The sequence below is a fragment of the Homo sapiens genome, chromosome 4 (genome assembly GCF_000001405.40).
Source record: "Homo sapiens chromosome 4, GRCh38.p14 Primary Assembly".
NCBI lineage: Eukaryota > Metazoa > Chordata > Mammalia > Primates > Hominidae > Homo > Homo sapiens.
In genome coordinates, this window is record NC_000004.12 from 123,838,621 (window position 1) to 123,859,524 (window position 20,904).

The 20,904-nt window shown below is 34.7% G+C and overlaps 1 long non-coding RNA gene across 2 annotated transcripts in view, besides 1 other annotated feature; it reads left to right on the forward strand.

The window, feature by feature from the left end:
• The window catches only part of LINC01091 (long intergenic non-protein coding RNA 1091), a 280,788-nt gene that overhangs the window by 188,630 nt on the left and 71,254 nt on the right, over window positions 1–20,904 (forward strand). The gene's annotated exons all lie outside the window — the stretch shown is intronic.
• Window positions 16,039–19,755: an enhancer, noted in NCBI's record as "VISTA enhancer hs1525". NCBI's record gives its function as "enhancer in: limb[5/10] | heart[6/10]" and the evidence as "EXISTENCE:transgenic organism evidence [ECO:0001131][PMID:17130149]".

Here is a 20,904-nt window from a genome sequence, read left to right on the forward strand (position 1 = left end):
GTGATGGAGTCTCCCCATTTCCAGCCTTCAAAGGCAAGAGGATGATGATCTTAGATTTAGCAGTGGCCTCAGGAGGAGGCTTTTGTCACATCCTCATACATCTCTGACTCACATTTGCTAAAGCTGGAATGTAAAATGCATATATGAATTTATAACAACTTAGAAGTCTTCAGATGTTAATTAGAGAGCAAATATATTTACTAGCTGGGGTCATTGTGTCTCCTACCTCTTGTTTGAGTTTGCTTGCTGTGTGTGATTGCTTATCAATATAAGAGTAAATAAGAGTTATAATTTAATTGTTTACTGAAAGCTGCTAGATGTTTGTAATGAAAATACTAAATTCAGTGAGGTTTGCATCTATCTTTTAAAAGTAAGAATAAACATTCTAATATTTAAAAATTGTCAAAGAGAAAAATGCACATGTACTCTTTTTTCAATTTTAACCTCTGGCATTTTGCTGCCTTATGTAGTACGTGCTCTTTGTTTTTCTCGGATAAGAAATAGCTGTAGATGGTTTTTCAAGCATATTGTTTTTAGGTAATGCTTTGAGATTATGCTCCTTCATGATAATACTTGTAGACAGTTTCGAGCATGATGTTTGAGCACAGAAATTAACCTCTATTTGTGTTTCTGAAGCAGTCTGGAAATTCAAGGAAAATTGTTTTGCATTTGATTGTTTTATACCATCTGTGATTTGAATTTTTCATGTAGTAAATTATTAAATGCTATCTCTAAAGGTAAGATTTTTTTTCAGTTAAGTATTTCATTATCTAAGTAAATGCTAATAGAATTTCAGATTAAATTAATATTTAAAATAAATATATATGCAATTATTTTACCATCTTTATTTTATCTCTCAAGTATAAGCTAGTTCATATTTATAAAGGAAAACTGTCAATTTTAAATTTTCATTTTTGTTTACAAATTGATTTTTTTCTGATTATTGGATTCTAGGATAGCTCCAGGAAAGCTTATTAAAATTTTTATTACAGCTCGTTTTTGGATAATGTAGATTTGTACTTGGTAAAGACATTCATGTTAGTAAATATTATCATTTTAGATGAGCCTAGTCTACTTCAAAAATGAAGAAGAGTATATTGCTGTACTTAAATACAGGAAAGGTACATTTGCATGGAATGGAGAGATGTGAGGAAAATAAAAAAGCCCACATAGCATGGATAACTTCTGGCTTAGGGAAGACTCAGGCAGTAACTACGTGACTATTCTGGGTGATCACTAGGTAGTATGAGGGTCTTAGCCACCTGTCTGGGTGGGGTATGCCCAAGTTAAGAGTTGTGTTCCACTTGCCCTTGATAACTCCCTGTCAACCCAAATGTTTGCTCTAGAGAACAGCTTCCCTCTGTTTCATCAGATCCCTTTTCTTCTCATATTATAGTATAAGGCCCACTTCTTTCAGGACAGTTTCTCTAATTAACATCCAATGACCTCCAAACCATCGACATATTAACAATTCTGGATCCTTTCATTTACTCCTCACTTTTGTAATCATTATAGCTCTCATTTTTGTAAATGGGATGTGTGTCTGCATTGCTTCCCTTATTAAACTATAATCATGAATCTGGGATCATGGCTAATCTTGACTGTGTTCCCTGGAACAATAAACAAAATAGTTATAAATCTGAGCATTTCTAAATACATGCAGTCCCTAAGGGGAATTTTATACCAATTTCTTAAACATTATGTGGAAAATATGTTTATTCATTGGATTAAAAGGAGAGGAAGAAAAAGAGATGGGTCTGAGCACTGAAATATTTATCAAAGGTTTGCTTCATGCTGTACAGTGTACTGAAACTTTGTGACATGTTACCTCACATAATCCTTGCCACTGCTCACATGGAGATACTGTTAGATCCACTTACAGATGAGGAAATGGGGAGGTTTTTTTCTAAGTTTTAGGAAGTTCAGAGACTTGGTCTAGGAAACATCATTAGTAAATGGAAGCATTGGGACAAGAACTCAAAAAATATGTGACAGGAAAAACTCCTTCTCTTTGCCAATTCTAACATCTTCCTATTCATTTTCTACTGGGCTTATCTTAATGAAGTGAAGTAATGCTTTAAAACCCCTTTTTACATTTTAAACTTGCAAAGCTTTGGTGCTTAAGGTTTATAGTTCAGTAATTGATTCTACTTTATGGACTGTGAATTCTAGGGTGGATCATTCCACAGTAGATTCCTTATTCACCTTATCTATAAATATAGGACAATTGAATTTTTAATCTGGAAAGGACTCTAGGGATCACTTCATTCTGTACAACCATTATAGAGATTCTCTGGTTCTTAACAAAAATATCCAATTAAAACCTGTTGTGAAAATAAGAAGACAATGATTTTTCATTGCAGCGTAGGGCGGAAAATATCATTTTATTATAATTATTAGTGTAGTATTATACTGGTTTTGTAGGCATGCCAGCTCACATAGTTAGTTACTTGGTCATCATACCTTACTTGAGGGAATAGTGACTATTCTAAGTTATATTCTTTTTTGGTTACTATGTCATATTTGTTTTCAAATGAAATGTAATTCAGACTGCCAATTCTTGTCAAGTAACGCCTAAATTGTAATACTTTACAGTGTTAAACACAACTTTCTACCAGCATAGTATAGAATATAATTTTATTAATAAAATATTAATAAAATGCAAACTGTAGAGAAAGAAATTGATAATTGCAGAAAGATGTCCCCAGAAAGCAGATCAAATTAAATGACACAATAATTCCCCTCCAAATATGAATATCTTTGGCTTAAAAGAAAGATCTGCTTTATGATGTTATAAACATATCCTTCCCTGGAGCAGTATTGATAATTAATGCCACATTCTGTTGGTTATAATTATATATGAGTTTGGTCATAAATGTTCTCATGCACTTTAAATGTTAATAAAATAAATAGGCTTTATTATTTCAAAATGATTACTTGCTCTCAGACACTGCTACTTTGCAGGAGAGGATGGCTGCCTTGGCACATAATGAAATATTACAGAGACATGCCGTAAACATTTGGAAGACACTCTCTTAGCTCTCAGGCAATGCAGCACGGGGAGCATATAAGGGCACAAGGAATATGCTTGAAGAAACCCAATCCCCGTCCTTGCTTCCACTTGCGCTCTCATAAATCAACTTGTTAATATCTTAAGCTTAGAAATAATTTTTAAAAAGGACAATGTTCCTCTTTTGTGGCTTGCAGGGCCAAGTGCTTTGTTTCTGGTCACTCTTACTTTCTAGATACAGCCTTTGTTAGTGTTTTAGATTTGAAACAGGGAGTGTCTTGCTCTGTTGCCCAGGCTGGAGTGCAGTGATGTGATCTCAGTGATCCTCCCACGTTAGCCTTCTGAGTAGCTGGGATTACAGGCACGTGCCACCATTCCCAGCTAATTGTTTTTTTTGTTTTTTTGGGGTTTTTTTTTTCCATTTTTTTCTAGAAACAAGGTTTTGCCATGTTGCCCAGGCTGGTCTTGAACTCCTATCCTCAAGTGATCTCCCTGCCTTGGCCTTCCAAAGTGCTCAGATTATAGGTATGAGCCACTGTGCCAGATTTTTTTGTTTTTAAGAAAATCCCCAAATGTTTAACTTCCGTAGGCAAGTTTATCCCACATCAAGAGAGAAGGACTCGTATATATTCTTATTTCATGACATATTAAAAACATGTGAGACCGACACATAGGTAATAAATAAGAGGAGTTAGTCCTTGCCATAGGAAGAATTATCAATTGAATAAAAAACTAAAAATAAGACTTCCAGTTTTAGCTTTAGCGTCTAAAGAGCTTGGAAGTTGTTATGTCTGTCTTCACAAGGAAAAGCTAATCAAATTGTGAACCAATGATTTTTCTTGAATCCATCAGAGAATAGACATTGCAAGGCAAATTTTCACCCTAAATTTCAGAAAGACAGGTGAATCCGGAGTCATAGCTGAGGTTTGCTTACCTGGAGCAGAAGCTGCTGGCATTATAATCCAGTAAGAGCACCTAAATGGTAATTTTGAAGAAATGCTGGAGGCTAAGTGTGAACTAGAGGAGAGTGAAAAACTTGTGGGGGTTGCAATTTTATGGGGCCCTCTTGCTTTTATGAGCTTTTACTCCAGGAACTTCACTGGATTCTCACAGTGGAGATCCAAGATTCTCTTGTGGCTCTGTCGTGGGGGCAAAAGAGTAATTCTTGCTAGATACTCCAAGACAGTTCTCCATAACAAAGACCTATGCTGGAGGAGAAAAAAGTTGACTAGAGTATATCCGAGCTGGGGGAAGGGCATTCTCAATCCAGTTACCTCTAGCCTTCAGGTCTCACCCAAGGGGGAAATATTATACCACTGAAGAAGCACTTATGAAGGTCACAGCCCAGAGGCACAGGACCACTAAGCACACAGTTATGTGTAAAATTATAGAATGCCTGACTTTCCCCATATCTTAGCATCACACCAACAGGGGTTCAGTATAACGACAGTGTATTACAATGGAAAGAACTGTAAAATGCAGAGTCTCTGAAGAAGAGTCTTAAGGAAGCCCAAAGTCAACAATGAAGATAAAAACAAGGACACTAGAGAAATTTGAGTCCTGTGGCACCTACAGTTACAGCAAACATTCATACAACATGTCTGGGGTTTAAAAAATTATAAAGCATGCCAGAAGTCAAGAAAAACACAATCTGAAGGGGGAAAGTAAGAATCAGACTCAGACCTTGATATAACACAGATGTTGGAATTATCAGACAGGAAACTTAAGATGACTATGATTAACATGTTAAAGGTCCTAATGGAAAGAATAGGCAACATACAAAAACAGATGGGTAATGTAATCTGAGAGATAAAAACAACAAAAATAAAAAATGAAAAAAAAATAAAAGAAGTGCTAGAAATCAAAGACAGAAATGAAGACTCTATTTATCAGTACAGCGGGCATGCCAGAGGAAAAAACTAGTGAGATTGAAAATAGGCCAACAAGAACTTTCCAAACTGAAAGGGAAAGAAAAAGAAAGAAAGAAAAGAAAGAAAGAAAGAAAGAAGAAAGAGAAAGAAAGAAAGAAAGGAGGGAGGGAGGAAGGAGGAGAAAAAATCAGAATACCCAAGGACTGTGGGGCAACTGTAATAAGTATAAATTATGCATAATTGGAATACCAGAAGGAGAAAAGGGAACACAGCAAAATAAATATTTGACATAATAATGGCTGAGAACTTTCCAAAATTAATCACAGACGTGCAGCACAGTTCCAGAAAGCCCAGAAAACACCAAGAAAGAGAAAAAACAAACAACAAACGAACAAAACAACAACAAAAAACACCATGAAAGTATACCTAAGCATATTATATTCAAGCAACAGAAAAGCAAAGACAAAGAAATCTTGAAAGAAGCTAGAGGAAAAATAATACATCTTATTTGTAGATAAAGAAGGGATAAGAATTATAGTGGTTTTCTCATCAGAAACCACGTAAGAAGAGAGTGGAGGAAAATATTTAAGGTTTGGAAGAAAAACAACCCCCATCTAGAATTCTATATCCAGAGAAATTATTCTTCAGAAGTAAAAGAGAAATAAAGACTTTCCCAGACAAAAACTGAGGGACCCGATCACCAACGAATCTGCCCTGAAATAAATGTTAAAAGAAGTTCTTTAGGAAGAAGAAAAATGATACAGTTCAGAAACTAGTGAAATGAGATTGTTCCCTTGACCCCTTCGCGGGACTTGTGAAGGGGGTGGCTCATTTACTCAGCTCGTAGCTCTCAACCCCTCATGGGAGGGGGAACATGCAGGTGAGTGGGTGCAGTGGCCAGGATGAGCACTTGTGGGGAACTGGCAGGAGCAGAACTCCATGTGGCCCACAGCGGCGTCTAGGGGTTGCCTGTGATTCCCAGATCCCCACAGGGTGTGTATTACAGTGTGCTCTTTTTGCTTTGTGAACCGTGGATGCTTAAGTGTTAAACAGCTCAGTGGAGGGTAAATGTGACAGCCTCTTGCACTGTACCCAGGTCCTGTCTGGCATCCAGGAGGAATGAGGTCACAGGTCACATGAACAAATTAGAGGGTAGTGAATGCGGAGGATTTTATTGCCAATGAAAGTGGCTCTCAGTGGGAAGGGGGACTGGAAAGGGGATGTAGTGGGAAGGTGGTCCTCCCCTGGAATTTGGGTGTCATGCCATCAAGCTGTCCCTTTGAAGCCAAGCTGCTTCTCTCTGATGTCCAGATGCTGGTTCTCTTCTCTCCTTCTCTGCCACGCCGCTCTGCTGGTAGGGCCTGGGGTTTTTATGGGTACAGGATGGGGGCTGGGGCAGGCCAGGGTGGATTTGGAAAAGGCAGCCTTTAGATTGGAAAACAGGAATGCATGCTCTCATTTTAAGCTGCAGGTCAAGGCTTGAGGGTGTTGCCCTCACCGGGGACCACTCTCTTCTACCCAGTATTTCCCTGCCTCCTGTCTGTATCACTAGGGTTTACATGAAGAAAAGAAGTGTGTTGAAGAAGTAATGGATCAAAGTAAAATTAAATCTTTTACTTTTCTCATTTTCAATTGCATTAAAAGATAACTCTTGAGAGCAATAATTGTAACAAAATATGGAGTTATAGTACATAGGTAAGTGAAGTGAATAACAGCAATGCATATGGGATGGGAATAGGGAATAGTCTATTATAAGGTACTTGTATTACCCATGAAGCAGTATAGAGTTATTTGAAGGTGAAATTAGATTAATTTAAAATGTGTACTTGAAAATCTAAGCCAACTACTGGAAATATTTTTAAAGAAATATAATTGATAAGCTAAGAGAGGAAGATAAATAGAACCATGTAATATAGTCAACTGAACCAGAGAAGGCAGAAAAGGAGGAGAATAAAAAGAAACAAAGAACAAATGCAATAATTAGAATAATTAAAACATGGTAGATATTAATTCAACTATATCATTAGTCACTATGTGGTTTATATAGATTAATTAAAGGAACAGATCATCAGAGTGAATTAAAAGTAAATACAGAGTTGTATTAAGTTAATGCTAGCTACTGTAACAACTAGTCTTCACAATTTCAATAGCTTAACACAATACAAGTTTATTTCTTGCTCATATTAAAGATGATCAGATATCTTTAATATGTCAGGGACCAAGTGTCAGGGACCAAGGTCTTTCTATCTCATGGCCTCACCATCCCTAGGGCTTCATGAATTCTGCATCTAGGTGCTGCAAAAATGAGAGAGAACAAAGGGGAAAAAGTCACACATGTTTAATTCATAAATTTTTATACAAAATATCTGATAATCACAACTTAATTTTATGATACTTATGCACTTTAAAGGGAAGGTGTAAATCATTAGGGCTGAGAGCAAGGAATTCTTATGAACATCAATTTAGGTTACTCTGGTCCATGAATTTTTATAAACTATTATCTCTAAAACAAAGATGTAGTATTTTGACTAAGTTTGCCAAAATACTTTGAAATTTTAAAAAATGTAAGAAAATTTTAACCAGGTTGAAAAATTATTTGGAAAATTTCTGGAAACCAATTTTGATAAATTGTTTTGTTTATTTTGGCAAAAAGTTATATTTTGAATATTATAATAAATGGTCCAATTTGGTAAATGTCTAAAGTTAAACTGGTTTAAACAAAAAATGCTGGCCTAAAAAACTTGCCTCTCTCCTAAATTTATGACCCTTGTTTCCATTCATTTACAACAGATTTCCATTTGGATGATTTAGTAGATAATTAAATACATATGTCCAAAATTAAAAAAAAAAAAAATAAGGATCTTCACTAAAAGAACATTCATTATTGAAAAGACAGAATAAAGATAATTCAATTAATTCATGAGAAGCTAGGAAATAAGAAGAAAATAAAAAGCACAATGCAACACAAAATGAAAGAGAGGAACACAAATATATAAAACTATCTCAATAAATGCAAACTGATTAAACACAGATCAACATACAGAGATTTTTATTGTTTTTAAAAAATGTATGTACTTTTTGTAGGAAACAGAGCAAAACAATGACATAGAAAGGTTAAAAGTAAGTAAATGGAAAATGTATCAGAAAAATACTATGTTAATATAAGCCAAATTGATTTGAAACCAAAAAATTTTACTGAAGTTATTTTATGATGATAAATCTATTTTCCAAGAAGATGTAGCAGTCTTGAATCTGTATGTAACTAAAAGCATATCCTCAAACACATGAGTCAAAATTGAAATAAGTTCAACAAAAAATAAACAAATCTACATAGAAGATTGCAACACAACTCTGTGATGTATTGGTAGATCAAGCATTCAACTTTTGTTTCATGTACAGACAAATGGAATAACACAATTAATACTGGTCTAATGTATATATATATATATATATATATGTACACATACATACACATATATATAATACTTTTTCCAACAATTAGACAAGTTAGAGATTGTTTTTCACACACTCTTGAAACTTTTAGAAAATTTGACCACATACCAAGTCACAAAACACATCTTAACAGATATCAATGAAGCCATATGATGTTGTCTGATCACAGGAAATAAGATAACGCAACAATATTTTTAAATAGACCACCAAACTCATATGTTTTGAATTTTAAAGCAACACTCTCCAAAATGTTCCATGGATTTAATAATGATGATGTTTATAAGAATGACATTGAGGATAATGGCAGCCAATTTCAATAGTTGCTTACTATGGGTCATGTACTGTGATATGTGCATTACATATACCTCATAAAACCCTAGGGGTAAGTTCTACTTCTATTGTTATTATTTTGCTGATGAGGAAACTAAATCACAGATCTAATGAATGATGGAGCTAAGATTCACAGTCCAGATAATTTGATTCCAGATACTGTGCTTTAAATCACTACATTGTGATGAAACCAAAATGAAAGAATGAAACAGCAATGAAATACTACATATCAAAACTTGTGCAAGGCAATTAAAATAGTTTTAAAACATGAGTTTTATCTTAAGTTCATTATAATAGTGTAGAAGATACACTAAAATTAATGTTCTAAAGGTCAACACCAAAACTTAAAAGGAGAAAAGCAAAGTAAACTCCAAGATAGTAGGCAGAGGAAAATCGTAAAGATAGAACAAAAATTAATTAAGTCTAAAACAAGGAAACATAAATCTTGTAGATGTAATATCTCTTTTTCATTTCACTTCATTTATTTCATTTCATTTTATTTTATTTCAACTTCATTATTTCTTTCTTTGTTTTTCTTTTTTAGACAGGACCTTCCTCTGTCACCCAGGCTAGAGTGCAGGGGCACCATCATAGCTCACTACAGCCTCGAACTCTGGGGCTCAAGCAATCCTCCTGCCTCAACCTTCTGAGGAGCTGGGACTACAGGCATCCCCACATGCCTGGCTAATTTTTTTTTTTTTTTTGTAGAGACAGGGTCTTGCTATGTTGCCCAGGCTGGTCTCCAACTCCTAGTCTCTAGTAATCTTACCACCCTGGCCTCCCAAAGTGTTGGAATTACAGGCATGAGCCACTGTGCCCAGTTAAAACCTATTTTTGTTTTAATAAAGACATTTATCTGACAAAACTCGTCAGGAAAAAAGAAGGCAATAAAAAATATAAAATTTTAAAACCCCAACGTGACTGTATGTAGAACAGAGATATTAAAACTCAGTGTCAAGTTCCATAAGGGACCTTTATACAAATACCAGGGTGAACTGACCAACTTTCTAAAAAAGTGTACACTACCAAAATTGATAGAAGAAGAAATTAAAAACAAACCATGAATTAATCTAAAACCATCATAATCACTTACTTGGTAGGCTACAGGCTACCCACAAAATGGACACAAAATGAGATATGTTTGTTTACCACTTTTACCGAACCCTCAAAAAGTAGATAACATCTATTTTGGGTACTCTTTCAAAAATTGAGGAATAGAGAAGATTGCTAACTCACCAAAATCAGAGAGAGAGTACAAGAAAAAAAATTATGGGCCAATTTCATTATAAGCACAGATGCAAAACTTCTAAGATATTAACAAATTCAACATATTATATGTTTCTATGAGATATATAACATTTAATTTTCAAAGTATGTAGATGAGTGTTTTATAATTGACATAGCAAAATTGTTTTCAGTAACAAAGTTGCATAATGATGAAAACATTGCCAAACATCTGTTTTCAAAATCCTGTCTTGATAGCAGGAATTATTTTCCAAAACAATCATTTTCTCACTTCTTATTAAAAATGCCTCTTTTACGTTGGGACATATTAAGGATGGGTGTGTGTTTAAATACTGCTAAGCAGGCATTTTTCATTACAGAAAAGGTCAGAAATTTGGAACAGCTGTTTTTTTGTGTGTGTGTGGAAGAAAAACATGTAACTCTTCTTCAAATTCCCCAACTCTTTTAAGGACTTTACCATGAGACAACCAGCAAATCGTTTTATGACATAGGATTTTCATGTCAATTCCCCATTTTAATACAATACCAGTCAATATTCTGGTCCAAGGATAATTCTTAAAATATATACTGAAGTGTTAGATTTACAGAGGCTTTTCTTTAACTTGAAATGTTTCTAGACACAGAAATGTATTATATTAATTCTAACCAATTTGAATTTCAATGACGGCATTCATGATGAAAGATATGCTGTTATCATCGTAGGGCTACATTTTAAATAGCAAGGCTGAAATACTACTTAAGGAGATTACGTTTTTAAATTTCTAGTTCTAGCTCAGTTCTAGTTGAAGCACCATAATTTCAATAAACACTAATAGAAATTTCAGCAGCTATAACATCAAGCCCTCAAAAGACTTTTTGAAAGAAATATCCTTTCTAACAGTGGAGCTAGACTCTCTAAGAGCATGTTATACGTTAGAATATCAATTACTTTTATTTGCATTCATCGGAACTGGTATTGCAAACAATTTGTCTGAGTGGAATGAAAGAAGAGACTGAAGTCCTTCAGTAACCCCTCTCATTAATTCTTTGTGCAAACAAACTCTAGTTGGGTATAAAGCCAGATAACCTAATGGATGTTTTGTAGAGGATGTGCAGCCACTTTGTTTACTAGTTAAGTTTTATCAAATAAGATGGACCAAGAAAAGCCAAGAAAAGTTTACAGCTCTATAAATCTCAAGCTATATTTTGAACATTCCTGAAACACCCAATCTGCAGACTTTAGCTTTGAGTAGATTTATAAGAGTCAAAAGTCACAGTCCTTGCAAACAGAGGAAACAGCACATAGAGTTTTTGTTTATTTTCTGTCTCTTAAAAAAATCAAATATGGCCATCAAGGATGTAAAACGCCAATAATCAACTACTGGTAGCAGAAATAAGGCCTGTGGCTCTTTTTGTCTCCTTGGTTTCCACATGTAAAAAAGGCAGGTGAAGAATCTTTCAGGTTTTTTCTATTTTGTTTTAACCAACTTTTTAATACATTTGTTTTGAACAATAGGGGAATTCCATGAAACATTGCAAGGAGAAGACAAAACAGTTCACTTGCTAATGTAGTTAAGAATATGGACAAAATGAATGCAGTTTGCTGTAACAGAAAGATTTCTTCATCCTCATGTTGGAAGGCATTGAGTTTTAGTTCTAAAACTTTTATTTATTAGGTCTTGGAACTTTGGACAAGTTATTCAAGTCTGCTTTTTATTTCTTACCTGTAAAATAATTGATCTCTCTGCTACATGGTGTTATTGAGAGGATTATGAGAAATCATTGATAAGAAAACTTTTTTATTTTGGTTATTTTTGTTTCTTAAAGAATCATACAAATTTAAGATATCACAATAATATTTTGTGGCTATGCATTCTTCCGTTCCTAGAATTGACTCACAGAGGTCCTTGCTCTGGGATCGCATACCTGCTTTGGCTGGGGAGCAATGAAATCCAAGCACAGTGGCATCAAGATGAGCTATTATTGTTTTATTAGCAATATTTATCAGAATTAAATTTCCATCTTCTTTACATTTCATTTTAGAAGACCCTACCCAGCAGCAGCTGCAATTTTCCGTGGTCTTATTGGGTAGATGTATTTATAATGACAGCTGAACTACTGCTAAACATTTAGCTTTTCAAATGAATCAAACGTAGAAAATAAAAGACCATCTCTGTTCCCTACCCGTAATAAATATAAAGAGTTTAACCTCCCTGGACTTAGAAAAATTAATTTTGCTTTTTTAAAAATTTTTTGAGATGGAGTCTCTCTGTCATGTGGGCTGGGTGCAGTGGTGTGATCTCAGCTCACTGCAACCTCTGCCTCCTGGGTTCAAGTGATTCTCCTGCCTCAGCCTCCCGAGTAGCTGAGATTACAGGTGTGCACCACCACACCCAGCTAATTTTTGTATTTTTAGTAGAGACGGGGTTTCCCCATGTTGATCAGGTTGGTCTTGAACTCTCGACCTCGTGATCGACTGCCTCAGCCTCCCAGAGTGCTGGGATTACAGGCATGAGCCACCATGTCAGGCCTTAATTTTACTTTTAAGTTCTAAATTCATTGGAAAATATCCTTTCTAATTTGTCCTAGTAAATCATTGATTCCCAAATGTTGCTTGTAATATTTCTATATGAATATTTTCATGCATTACAGTAAAAGTAATTGATCTTAGGCCCTTGTAGTAAAATTCTATTTGTAAATCAGAATATTAGTATATGCCAAGACTTCTGTCTAGAGCTGATCCAAGTTTTGGTTATGGAAGACTTGTGGAAATGTCCTGCTTTATCTTTAGTCTCCCATTGCCCCTTTCTTTTTAAAACAATGATTATAAATTATTTCTGTTATTAGGAGCCTTAATTAGGGAGCCCTAAGTACCTTTATTCTATTTCCTTTGAGTTCTAGTTGATTGCCAACCAGCCTGGAAGACAGAGGTTTAGAAAGACTGGGCTCTGATGCAGACTGTCCCAGGCTGCAAAAATCCTGCTCACTTTGTTTAAAGATATGAACTGCTTTAGGCTTGAGGTCCTCGAGCAGATTTCTAAGCCTGTAGCCAAATGCTTAAAAAACTGAGTGAGATATGGAATGATTTTAATCTTTCTGAACTGGAAGTTTCCCAGGGTTAGACAAGCTCTTATGCTGAAAACATAGCACAAAGTCCATTGATGACTACTGATATGGTTTGAGTCTGTGTCCCCACCCAAATCTCATGTCAAACTGTAATTCCAGTGTTGGACATGGGGCCTGGTGGGAGGTGATTGGATCATGGGGGTGGATTTCCCCTTTGGTGCTATTCTCATGATAGTGAGTGAGTTATCATGAAATCTGGTTGCTTAAAAGTGTGTAGCTCCTTCCCCTTCATCCCTTCTCCTCCTGCTGCCGCCATGTGAGACGTGTTGGCTTCCTCTTTGCCTTCCGCCATGATTGTAAGTTTCCTGAGGCCTTTCCAGCCATGCTTCCTGTACAGCCTATGGAACCATGAGTCAATTAAACCTTTATTCTTTATAAATTACTCAGTCTCAGGTATTTCTTTATAGCAGTGTGAGAATGGACTAATACAAGTACTTTCTCTAAGATTACCTCCTATGCTGTTTTAGTTAGAAAATTTCCCAATTACACCCTGATTATGGACCACCTAAGGTGGTATTGTCTCTTGGCTGTGATCTTCTCAATAACACCTTGAGATATATCAATGCTTCTTGATTTCTATAGCTTGAGTAGTAGAGATTAATGTGTTCATGTAACATTGGATTTAGCACTTAACCGAATTTAAATAATATAATGACATCAGCCATCAACTTCTCTTCTTAGGGCATTAGTAAAATGAATGTTAATTTTGGGGAAGTTCCTGAGTTTCTTAAAATTAATAAACTTTACGGAAATGAAGGACCAGCAAAGGGTGAGGACTACTCTAAAAAGCTCCTAATTTGTTGGTGGGATACCTTGATCCCATAGGAGAAGTCTTCCTAAAATGAGAATTGGTTCTCCAAAAGCCAGACATAGTTCTGATTGGAGAGGATTCACTTCTGGCCCCAGAGGACATGCCACAGAACTAAGGGAATTCTAGTCTCTGACCAAGAGACCAATTCTTCATGTGGTTTACAACAATTTTTGTTTTATGTGCTAAAGAATAGAAAGCTGAATAAGAAATGATTCTTGCTCTCAATAGTTTTTAAATTTTGTGGAGGCTGCAAGGCACTAATCTTACCCTTGGAAATTTCTTTTGGATACCCAGATAGCCATGACAATGGTGTAATGTATGGGGAAATTTTCCTCTATCATTCAAGTGATGCTTGTTTCTGGGGGGCAGTCAGCTATATATATGGTTATATTCTTAGAATCTGCATGCAAAAAAGATGTCCATTCAAGTAACGAAGACAAATATTTTTAAACTCTGGCCCAAGTCATTCTTCTAGGCCCAGGGTATACTTCACTTTTACTATGAATTCCTCCTCATCCCTCAGCTTCTGTACTTGAGAAGCTTTCAAACACCTTTGTTATAGCACTCATCGGTTATGATTTATGCATACATTTTTTCCATTAGACTCTGAACTCCTCAGGGATAGAGACTATCTATTATTTGTCTTTTAAAATTTTGAACTAGTTTTATTTTGTTGTCAAATACAAACACAGAATTGAATATTTGTAACAAAAAAGTTTGAATTTCTCTCTCGTAATAATTTCTAAGAGGAAACTGTCATTTTTTATTCCTTCTCCAGATGTAATTATTGACAGCTTATTAAGTAAAGTAGCATTTTCTTAGCAGTGACAGGTATGACTTTTGTCTTTTGAGGCTGTCTATAATATTAATATCTTATAATGTGAGCACATGAATCCATAATTGTCCAAATGAAGAGTTCAAGAATAAATTACTTGATTTAGAAAGATTCAGAAGAGCTTGAGTCTCTGGAACTGAAGTCCACCTCAGGTTTACATTTTGCCTCATAATCTTGGCTTTTAGAATGCATTTAATGCGTGAGAATAATTACTGGGTACCAATCACTTCTTTGCTTAGATTATTTTATGTACTTTGTGCATTAGATAGTTTTACTATTAGTTCTATGAGTGAGGTAGCTTTGAGGGATTATGTAATGAGCTTTAGATAATATAGGTGGTAAGTGGTCCTACCACTTTCCTTAAACAAGGAACTGTGCTCCCTTGCCTCCTTTTCTACCCCTGAGCTTCTCTCATCACTCCCTGCACCCTGTCCCCAATTTATTGACCTCAAATATTTTTCTACCTTGTTGCAGACTGAAGTGAAGGTCTTAGCAGATTTTGGGACACATGGAGTGCAGCAGAGGTTATCATCGCACACTGTGTTTATAGCTTCACTCAGCCAGGGTTTTTTGGCAGTTTTCAGGACCATAGAGGCCTCATTTCAACACAGGAGCCAGTGTAAATACACAACAAAGAGACCACACCTGAGGAGGTTTTTCTGTCTATTTTAGTGACCTTGTTTGTGGCTGTGGGCCACTGGCGATCCTTCTCATCAGTCAAATATTAAACTTCTCTTTCCGAAACTTCCCTTAGGCCTGTCTGAAGATTTTTGGTCCCCATGTTTTATGAAGTGATAAAGATTTTGAGCTTTTCAAAGACAAAGCTGGTATGTATTTTTTAGATGACATTGTCATCATGATTACATTTGCCGTGTAAATTAATTTTTATTTTTTTAAAGAGTAAGTTACCACTGAAGTTCCTCTTCTACTTGATAGTTGTCAGAAGACAAGATAAGTGCTTAGGTTTTGACATTCACAATCTATGTGACAGGAGGCTGATCAAAAGTTGGATTTCTGATACCCGATGAAAGCAATACGGTAGGGCTGGGCTAAATCAGATTGAATAAAGATCTTTCCTTCCTGTTTCTACTGCGGCATGAATACTAATAAGTTAATATGTTTTGGGTGCCCACCAAGTACCCATTTTAGAAGACCTTTAAAGAATATAAGAAATGAGTGACAAGATCCATGCACATGAGGAACTTAATTATTAAGAAAAGATTCTAACAAACTCTGGACCATTAACAGTTTGAAGGCATGGTTTTGCTTTTGTAAACTGAATATGAAAAGATGACAGGAAATAAATGGTTGTAATGTGTAATAAGAGTGGTGGTATTTGAAAAGAGGAAAGCTTGGAACATTTTTGGTTTGGTACACCGACAAATGTTGAGGGGCCTAGCAGATTTGCAAAAATTGAGTCTGGAAATTTGGTTCCCAGTGTGTGAACAGTATGGTCTGAGGGTCTGAGATAATTAGCAGAAATTAATCTTAACTTGCTGGCTTTAGTTTCTAAAGAGGCTGCTGACATGACTTGGTGCTATGCAAGACAAAGTTGACATGTAATGCAAGAGACGTTAATTCTATCTGCCAAAACATTAAAAATATGCTTATTAAATAGAAATAAATAATCGCTACATATGTATATAAAATAACCACAATGAATTTTTACAAGTATTGGATATAAATGAAAAAGTGAAAATTTCATACATCCTGCTTAGATATAGATGAAGCTGTTTTGCATGCTTCTCTTTCTTCAGTATTTAATTAGGAGATTTATCTACCTTATTGTGTAACTTGATTTTATATTTTACGTGTAAGAAGGTGAATCAACTTTTCTGTATTGCAACAATCTTCGTTAACATTTTCAACATGTACTTTCACTTTAGCTGATTTATAATTGCAGCTTCACTGCTTTATTGTCGTGTTTTATTCCTAAAACAATGTGTTTCTATATTTAAGGATGATATGGTGCACAAATGTTGTTAAGCATACAAATTGATGGCATAATTTGCCCTTGACCTTGGATCTTGGTGGTTGCTGGGACACTGAGGAGAGAGCTTTTTTTTGGCCATGTGGGAGACTACCAAAGGCATCAATTTTAAAACTAGACTGGAGCAATTACCATTACATTTATGTTAGAGGTTAACATTTGTGTTATTTCCTCTTATTGCCTGGCTTTACAGAATGTTATGCCCCACTGCTTTTATTAAATCCAGGTAATAGAGGAAATAACAGTGTTATTAACCTCTAACACTGATGAAAAATTAGTCTTAAGTAAAACATGGTTTAAAATCAGAGCCATTGAGCCAGTACTTTAGCTGGTTCCCTGACCAAGCACAGAAAGGCTTTGTATACTCATTGTGCCCATATTCATTATGATAAAAGTAAAACAAAGTATAACACGAAATAAATCTCTGGGGGAAAAAGGGATTTGATTTTAATATGTACTGTATTCTTACTAGTAAATGTTATAGTTTACATGACATTATATAAATAAATATTGATCAGGAGAGTACCACTTTTCTATGATTGAAAGAGGAATTCGTTTTGATAACTTGATTACTTTCACAGAAAAGCACTTAGAAATTTAATATATAATCATTGACCTCATCAGAAGTCACTAGTTAGGTGCTTCCAAACACAACTGTTGTTAAGCTGAGGATTACTTTAGAAAATTTCCCTTTTCTTTTCTTGTTTGCATTTAAAACAATAATTTTTCAAAGTGATTTTTGGGATTTAGGCAGAGTTTGCTTCCCTGGTCATACAATGGTTACACATGGTTTTGTTGGGATGTTTATGCTAATTGAGACCACAAAGTTGTGAGTGAATTTATACATTTTAGGCAAATTAGGAAATATAGACTTAGTCAATACAATTAGAATGATAATTTATTGTAGGAAAATAAGATCTTGGTATCATAGTCTATTGATTATGTAGTTTAAATAACCCTAAATGTATTTTGTATGCTTTGATTAATAAATATTGTATTTAAATTTAATTTTAAAGCAACATATTTCTATTAAGCAATGCATATGTGTATCTAAGTAACTCTAAAGGTTTTTCAATTGTCTGATTTTTAAATAAATCTCTCTGCCTAACATTTATTAGTGAATTGCCAAATTATTTAAAGGTATTTTTCTTTTGTGGAATAAAATGTACCTCTTAATATAAGCATATTGGTTTCTAAATTACTCAATATATTTACCATGATTTTGTAAATAATGAAGTAGTAAAAGATTTCCTTTTAATCTATTATTTTAAATATAGAATTAATATAATTGATTAGAATAAATATCAATGAGAGAGAACATTGTATCTTACATATTTATTCAAAGGATGGTGTTGGGTAACACTAGATTTAAGAGCTTTTGTGTGAATTAAATAAAACTGCACATACAGAAGTGTCTTGTAATTATGTTAACAGTAAGTATTATATTATTCTCATGACTTATAGTGGGGAAGATGTATATAAACTTCACAGTATTCATGGCATTCCTATAGTATAAGTTGTTTAATAGAAAATAACAAAGAAAAGTAGGCATTGTACTTCTTAATCTTTAGGTAAATATACATTCCAGTTGCATGAACAGTCCTATGTAAAGGCTCAACAATCCGTTTACTTTTTAAATTAACAACCACTTCAATGGTTAATTGAGTATTTCTAAGCCAATAAATTACCCTTCAACATTACTGACTGGAAGCTTAGTTAGTATCCAAAACAAGCCTGGCATTAATGAACTCATTCTCCAACAAAAGGAAAAGGAAGCATCAAATCTGAACTTTGGATGTGTTCGGTTCCTTATTCTAAACACATTAGTACACTGTATTTTCCCACTTAGAGAAGCTTTTGTACACTGAGCATGTGGCTGTTTAAATGCCCCAGCGGGACATCCAGAGGCTGCAAAAACGGGAAAAATTATTTGGAACAATTTGCTTTCGTTCAAGGGCAACCATTTTACAGCTGGTTTATTGCTATTCTTGTGCTGTTTAAGCTGTCTTTCGTGTCAAAAGTCCTTTCCTGCTTACAGATCATCAGGAAGCATTCTGCTGCGTGCTGTTTGCCTAAGTTCCTCCAGGGCTCCGGGCCTTTGATCACGGATACCATTTGCAATCTGGTTAAAAATAGGAGGCTGCTGAGATAAGCTTGGGTCCTGGCAGTGAGGAAAAGGCCCTTTCCTTTTTTTTTTTTTCTTTTTTTTAAACTTTGTTATTTTGCTTTTTAGCATGGGAACACATAATTGAAGCAAAGAGGAATAGTGCTTAGAAATTATAGCATGCTTAGAGGTGTAAAAAGTTTGTGTGAAAAAAGGTTATTGGTTATTAAAAAGTTCAGTTTTTTGAAACCAGTGTCATTATTGTAGTAAGTTAAAGTTTTGAACATAATGAGTACATTCTTTTCTTTGAGGTTGACAGAAACAATATTTGCTCCCTTACATTTAAAATACACTACTGGTAGCACAGCTTTCAAGCTTGTACTCCTAAGGATGGCATTTAAACCAGAAGCATATATTTTTTTTTTTTTAGTGAGGAAAAATATATTATTGTTGTTAGCAAACCTAATATAAAAGAACAATAATATATTTAATATTGCTATTAGATAACAAGCATTGTAAGGATAAAGTCAGAATAAAAGACTCATATTTTTTATAATTTTTATTGCTTATCATTTTCTAGTGCTTTCTTAAATTTGTCAACTTATTGAAAACAAAAGCATGAAGATATACATGATTTTTAAATTATAGTTTCTCTCAGAATTTTGATTAACATGATTGTATCAATCTTATGATATAGGAGGATGGTGACTTTCATTATTGTTTGCTTAAGCAACAAGTCAAATATACCACAAGCCAGGAAATTAGAGAATTAATTGGAAATGAAACATAACCTAGATGGTAAAATTGGATACTAGAATATCAACATGATACTCAACGTAGAATATTTACTGTGAAATAAAGTGTACTAGAAGGGATCTTGGGAGTTTAATGAATTTTTCTACCAGTGGGCAATATCATTTATTTGTTAATTTACTCAAATAAAGATCTGCGCAAAGCCAAAACCTATGAAGTAAAGCAGAATAAAAGAGTGCCATCCGAGGCTAAAAACATGTTTACTGTATTGCCACATGCATTCTTGGCAGTTTGGGGTCCTGTGTATATTTTGGAGGGGTAAAGAAGAATTAGTCAAAGGAAAGATTGTGGGAATAAATTTGTAGAATGGAGGGTAGGTGAGGGATTAGAGATGAAGGAATCTGTTTATATGGATTTCAGCATGAAAGAGAGTTTAGAAAGAGAGTTCCTGAAGCTGCAATTGATGCAGTTATGCTGGGCTGGAACAACTTGGGATAGGAAGTGTGGTGGGGAGGCAGAGTGGACTGAACTAAGCTGGCTGGAAGTGAAGTCTGGGATGAAGTTTACAGTGCGAGGCAGAATCAGATGATGGAAGAACATGTGCTGTGTACACTGAGTTGTATTAATTGTTATATATATATTTTTAATCAATAGTGTACTAACTTGTGCTGCTGAGTTTACTGAATTCATATTTTTAAAAACTCTAATTTGCCTAACTTTCAAAATAAAGCATCTAAAGCTTATTAAGCATATAGAACAGGAAACTTGGAAAGCTGTTCTTGTGTTTGTGTTTAAATATTACCAAGTATATAATAGCTCACATTCCAGCAGACACAATACTGTGGCTTAGTCAGACCATGTTTTATATTACAAATAGTTTTACGTAAAATGAATGTTCCAATCTATATCTCCAGAATGAAGACAGTCCTCTCTAAAAAGGGCTCCTTCATCCTGAAAGCTAGCTCAGAGGGTTTTTTGAGCTTTGTGTCCTGTTTGTCACTTCTTTGAGTATCTTAACCTGCAGTATAGTTACCCTTGCCACACTACAGTATCATAAAATGGGCATCTTGTATCTCTGTCTCAAGGTGATAATGGAGTTGAAATGTATATCAGGGAAAAGATCAGGATTTCATTGAAAAGATGGAATATACATTTTGCACTAATGTCTGAAAAATCAACTTGCTCATAAGTTATTAAAGGACCACAGGTGCAAGCAGTGCAATTTTTGCAATTCCCTTTCCTGATATATTCTAGCAAGGTCATTTGCCCCTAAGCCTCAGAAGGTTAATTGGATCTCATAAGTGAATGCACCCAATCACTCATGATTTGGGAAATTTTAAAATTGTTGTTATTTAGGCATTAACATTGGAATATCAAATTTGACTTTCTTTTTACTG